General features: G+C 43.0%; 1 long non-coding RNA gene across 1 annotated transcript in view; it reads right to left on the bottom strand.

The window, feature by feature from the left end:
• Nucleotides 1-680: 680 nt before the first annotated feature.
• Nucleotides 681-6,000, bottom strand: part of LOC105370656 (uncharacterized) — a 28,806-nt gene continuing 23,486 nt past the window's right edge. Inside the window, exon 3 of the long non-coding RNA XR_944195.3 lies at nucleotides 681-1,905. This is a non-coding gene — a long non-coding RNA (uncharacterized LOC105370656). The remainder of the gene's footprint in view (nucleotides 1,906-6,000) is intronic.

Genomic DNA, 6,000 nt, shown 5'->3' with positions numbered 1-6,000 from the left:
AGGTTCTACTCACCCCATCCAGAACTCTGCTGGGAGCATCGTTATCCACCTACCAGGGAGTCCTCTCAGCTCACCCTTCACATCTGTCAGAGGTTGATGTAACTGGTCGGCTAGGATTCTGTATTACCAAGTTCCTGGTCCAAATATCAAATACCACAAAATACCATCTTGATTTCTAACAGCTTTCTTGTCTGGTAAATAGGGTTAATAATAAGAGTCTTTCTCATCTCCCAGAGCTACCGTAAAGATCAAATAAGATAATAAATGTGAAAGCATTTTGTCTTCTTTAAAGATATACACAATCCTAAGGTTTAGCTAACTTAGTGACTCAATGCTGTGCATGTCTTCTCACAGGTCCGTCACCGCCGCTGGAATTTGATCTCTGCAAGGTGAGGGCAGGGTTTCCCTCATCACTGCAACCCTGGAACCTAAGGCACACAGCCTGGGACAGAGCCATTGTATGACAATTATCTGAATGAGTGAGAAATCCTTGTGTGATCACATGTTCTCAGTCTTTCATGAAGAAATGCCACATGTCAGCAACAACTCCACGGTCGTCCAGCCCTTATAAATTTTCAATATATTTTCACTGAATTTTACAATCTATGCCTTGGATGTCAAAACATATGTTAGGAACCATCAACAGTAATAAATGACGACACCATGATAACCACAGAAAATCGATGATAAAACAGGAAAACAATATTTTATTACTGGCTCGAGTGAAATAGAAATCAGGGTACATTTTCATGATTAGGAATTAGATTAGAAAATTGACAACATGATAACTTTTAACAAAAATAAGATTCAGCAGTCTTGCAGAATGTAAAAGGCATGATGGTAAGTCACGAGCTGTAATATGGTATTTTGTGGTGTCACTAATGTTATATGAACCATTTCATCTGTGAGAAGATTACCTGTAGGTTTGAATCTGAAGGTGTGTTTTATTACGTATTTTAAAGGCAACCTGATAGTGTCCATTTCACAATCTGTAAATACAAGAAAAAGTTCTTTTGTTTAATTTACCAATTTCTAAGTCACAGATGTGCAATTTGTAGGCTCCTAATGATTTACAAATTCCTGTAATCTTATTTTGTAGGCTATGATGTGAGAAAGCCGTGAAAAAAAAAAAATACAGGAAGAAATAACAGGAAGGGGGTCCCGTCCATTCTCTGTGTTGTTGTAATTTATGAGAAGATGAGAAGGGATCTGTTTGATAAGCAATTCCACTCACTCTGGGTAGAAGTGGAGTTGATATCATTCATTGATATGGGTCAGTACAGTTTATTCGCCCTGTTCCAATTTTTTGGTTATGCATTCAGGTTTTAAAATATTCAGCCTCAAAATGCAGTGCACACAATTTTGAAATCCATTTTCCACTGTGGGTCTCTGAATGGGATGCACACCCGATAAAGGTCTCATGGGTGAAATTTAAAATTTGTCCCATTTGATGTGAATCCAATAGGATTTATAGCAGCAACAACAAAGATAGTCAAATATTTTCCGGTTTTAAATGGGAATGTTAGTGCTTGTGAAAGGCATCAACGTGATGTTGCCTGGAGGACTGAGGTCTTTTAGCCACAGAACTGATAAAGAGAAAGGAAAAAAAATCAAATCAAATCAAAATACCGAATGAGCTTCCCCAGGCTGGTCAGAGTTCAAGCTTCAGGACTCAAGGATGGGTCAAAATCAAAGCTTTCGCAACATGGGAAGGAGGTATCACCGGTGCTCCTGATGTCAGCCTAAACGTGGCACTTCAGTAGTCTCTCTTAATCTCCGCAATCCACTTTTCAGAGGGAGTGGGTGGCTTTGCCAGGATCTCACAGCATCAAGGTGGGCTCTGAACTTGGATGTGTCTGACTCCAAAGCCCAGGCTTCTTATAAATTATAGTCCAAAGCAGAGCCCTTAGGAAGGAGAAAGGAGGGCACTATGAATAATTATACCAGGACAGCAGAGTGCAACCAGAACAGACCCAGGTAAACTTCAGAGCAGCATGCCTGTAGCTCCTACTCCTGGGAACATGGGACCCCATTGCCCCACGTAGCACAGAAACAGACAAACAGGAGCACCGTATATTTTGCGAAAATGGAAGGGGGCTACAGGACCCTTTGCCCAGAATCCACACTACTACCCTGATACAGAAACAGTTCCTGGATGCCGGTTCACAAGGTTTGCAATACAGATTTAGTATCCCTTATCCAAAATGCTTGGGGTCAGAAGTGTTTCAGATTTCCAATTTCTTCAGATTTTGGAATATTTGTATGCACATAATGAGATATCTTGGGGATGAGACCCAAGTCTAAACACATTTTTTTTAATGTTTCATATGCCTTATACACATAGCCACAAGGTAATTTTTATACAATATTTTAAATAATTGGTGCATGAAACAAAGTTTGTGTTAAGTAATTATGTGTGGAATTTTCCACTTGTGACATCATGTTGGTGCTCAAAAGTTCTGGATTTTGGAGCATTTCAGATTTTGGATTTTGGGATTAGGGGTGCTCCTCCTGTACACACAAAGCAGGGGGCAGGGGCTGGCATGTGCACAAGAATTCCTGGGGGCCAGGCCTCTGCCATGCCCCTTCTCTGGGGAGCAATCCCTCTCCTCCCCAGCTGCAACATTGAGAACAGAATGGAAGCTTCCCGCTGGCCACAGGGAATAATCTAATGTCTCTCACCTCCTTCCCCACATATACACACTTCCCAAATGATTGGTCCAAGCCTGTGATCCAACCTGGGCCAGTTAGGAACCTTCCCCCAAATTTCTTACTTGGGGTTGGAGCCCTGTAAATTGCTGCTGCCGGCCAACAAGGAGAGTGCAGCAGGGGTGAGAGGCAGGAGGTGAGGGTCCCTTCCAGGAAGTGTCTGGCCCCAGCCTTCCCCAGCTGCTCCCTCACCTTTCACAAAATGTGAGCCAGTGCAACCCCCACTTTGTGCTTGGGCTAATCCTCCCTCTGTTCCTATACTAGCAACTCAAAGGGTTCTAGATAATGTGAGTCCTACAGACGGCACCTGGCTGATGTGAGGGACTGTGAGGTAGGGGTGGCAGAGCAGTGAGCCAGGTGCCCGGACAAGTCTGCAAGCTCCAGTAGGCGGAACGTTGTCACTACCCAAAGTGTGCTCCATCAGCCAATAGTGTGAGCATCCCCTAGGAACTTACAGGAATGTAGAACCCTGGAACCACTGAATGGGAGTCTGAATTTTCACAAGATTCCCAGGACATTTATATGGCATTAAAGTTAGAAATGCACTTAACTCAAGGACAATAACACCATCTGTTGATTCAGTGGTATAAATTCATCAAGAGTGGACCAAGGGCAAAAACCTGGCTTCACTCTCTGGGGCTGTCATTGAAAGAAAGCAGTGTGTATCTGGATACAAGGACTGTTAGATCTCATTTCGTCCACATGCAAGTGGAAATACTGAGGCCCAGGAAAGTAGAGTGAGGCCCCTGAAACCTCATACCTGGTTCCATGTGCTGAGTCTAGGACAAAGGGGCTCTTTCATCCTATCGCATCATAAAGATAAGCCAGTTCTTAGCCTTTCTTTCTCTTTCTTTCTTTCTTTCTTTCTTTCTTTCTTTCTTTCTTTCTTTCTTTCTTTCTTTCTTTCTTTTTCTTTTTCTTTCTTTCTTTCTTTTTCTCTCTCTCTCATTCTCTCTCTTTTTCTTTCTTTCTCTTTCTTTTTTTCTCTTTCTCTCTCTCTCTCTCTCTTCCTTCCTTCTTTCCTTCCTTCCCTCCTTCCTTCGTTCTTTTTATCTTTTTTTTTTTTCTGGAGTCTCGCTCTGTCACCCAGGATGGACTGCAGTGGCGCAATCTCGGCTCACTGCAAGCTCCGCCTCCCGGGTTCATGCCATTCTCCTGCCTCAGCCTCCCGAGTAGCTGGGACTACAAGTGCCCGCCACCATGCCCGGCTAATTTTTTGTATTTTTAGTAGATGGTCTCCATCTCCTGACCTCATGATCCGCCTGTCTCAGCCTCCCAAAGGGCTAGCATTACAGGCTTGAGCCACTGCACCTGGCTCTTTTCTTTCTTACTCATTACCCCTCTGTGTTCAGATCTGTGTAGAGGAACAGTTATGTGTATAGAGTACACAGCTACTCTAGGTCGCCTTATCTGTCCCAAAGTGACAGTCTTCCCTACCATGACAACATGCTCATTTGCTGAGCTGTACGTGGGCTACAATTTCACCCCCCATAATTCATCTGTTGAGAATCTCTAATAGCTTCATAAATCTGGGAAGCAAGAAAATCATCAACTTCTCTTAAGCTTAAATTAAGTTCAGATCCTTCTTTCCATATAAGTCACAGCAAAAGCTTTGCTTTTCATTCTGCTCCACACGTATTTATGGGCATCTACCAGTACTCAGTGCTTCCTCCTATCACTCCACATGCAGGCCTCTAATCACGATTCATATTTGGACAGAAACTTGAAGTTTACAAAGCCCTTTTACATGTGTGTCCTTATTTGATCCAAACAAATGATAAATTCAAAAAAAGCTTTTGCATTGAGGTACAGATGCTAGTTAATATGGTAATAATATTAATGCTGATAATCATGTTAAATTAAGAGTAGTGATAATAATAAGCCTTATGGGACAGGTATTCAAACATAAAAACTTTCATTATTTATGGGTTGATCTTTATATCTAGATCCTGTGAGAGTTGCCTTAATGCAAAGTTAAAATCGGCGATGCCTGTGCTCATCACTTCTGTCATGCTTTGGCTAGTGTGGTAATCAGAATAATGGACCTCTCTTAATGGACCTCTAGAGAGGTCCCTGTCTGAATCCCCACAACCTGTGACTATACTGCCTTATATGGCAGAGGAACTTTTCAGGAAAGATCAGGAATATGAACCTGGAGATAGGATGATTATCCTGGGTTATCCCGGGTAATCGTATCATATGAATCCTTCAAAGTGGAGAAGCTTTTCCAGCTTTTGTGGGGATGAAGATGTGAACATTGAAGAATGTAGAGTGGAATGCTACCTGGTTGGCTTTGAAGATGGAGGAAGGGGGTCAGAAACCAAGGAATGCTGGTGTCCTCTAGTAGCTGGAAAAGGCAAAGCAATGAATTCTACCCTCAAACCTCCAGGGTGACTGACTAACAGACATCTTGCTTTTAGCCTGATGAAACCTATGTTGGGTTTCTAAACTATCAAGAAGGTAATACATTTATGTTGTTTAAGCCAGGGTTCCCCAGTCCCCGGTCACGGATGGGTACTGGTCCATGGCTTGTTAGGAACTGGGCTGCACAGCAGGAGGTTAGCAGGAGGGTAAGTGAAGCTTCGTCTGTATTTACAGCCACTCCCCATCACTCACATTACCGCCTGAGCTCCTCCTTCTGGCAGATCAATGGCAGTATAAGATCCTCACAGGAACACAAACCCTACTGTGAACTGCACATGTGAGGGATCTAGGTTGTGTTCTCCTTATGAGAATCTAATGCCTGATGATCTGTCACTGTCTCCCATCTCCCCAAGATAGGACTGTGTAGTTGCAGGAAAACAAGCTCAGGGCTCCCACTGATTCTACATTATGGTCAGTTGTATTTCATTATATATTATAATGTGATAAAAGTGGAAATAAAGTGCACCATGAATGTAACGTTCTTGAGTCATCCCCAAACCATCCCCTGCTCCCAGTCCGTGGAAAATTGTCTTCCTCGAAACCACTACCTGGTGCCAAAAAGGTTGGGGATCACTGGTTTAAGCTACCAATTTTGTGCTCAGTTTTTACAGCAGCAACTGAAAACTCATATGGCTACATTATTATCAGAAAAGAAACACACAGAATGGTCTCTGGATCTTTGATCAGGAACAGCACGAGTGAAGAGCAACATCGTTTACAATCCTAAAAAGATTCCTCCCCAGCAGCACAGCAGATGAGGAAGGTGCCACATCAGATTCCAATTTGCTCAGTAGTCCTGTGAAGCGATTGGGAGCCAGGCTGGTTGGGTTAAAATCTGATGTGCATCAGTAAGCAGCTGTGTGACCC

This window comes from Homo sapiens, chromosome 14 (assembly GCF_000001405.40).
Source record: "Homo sapiens chromosome 14, GRCh38.p14 Primary Assembly".
NCBI classification, from domain to species: Eukaryota; Metazoa; Chordata; class Mammalia; order Primates; family Hominidae; genus Homo; species Homo sapiens.
Note: the sequence above shows the minus strand (reverse complement) of the source record. Positions and strands in the feature narration are given on the sequence as shown.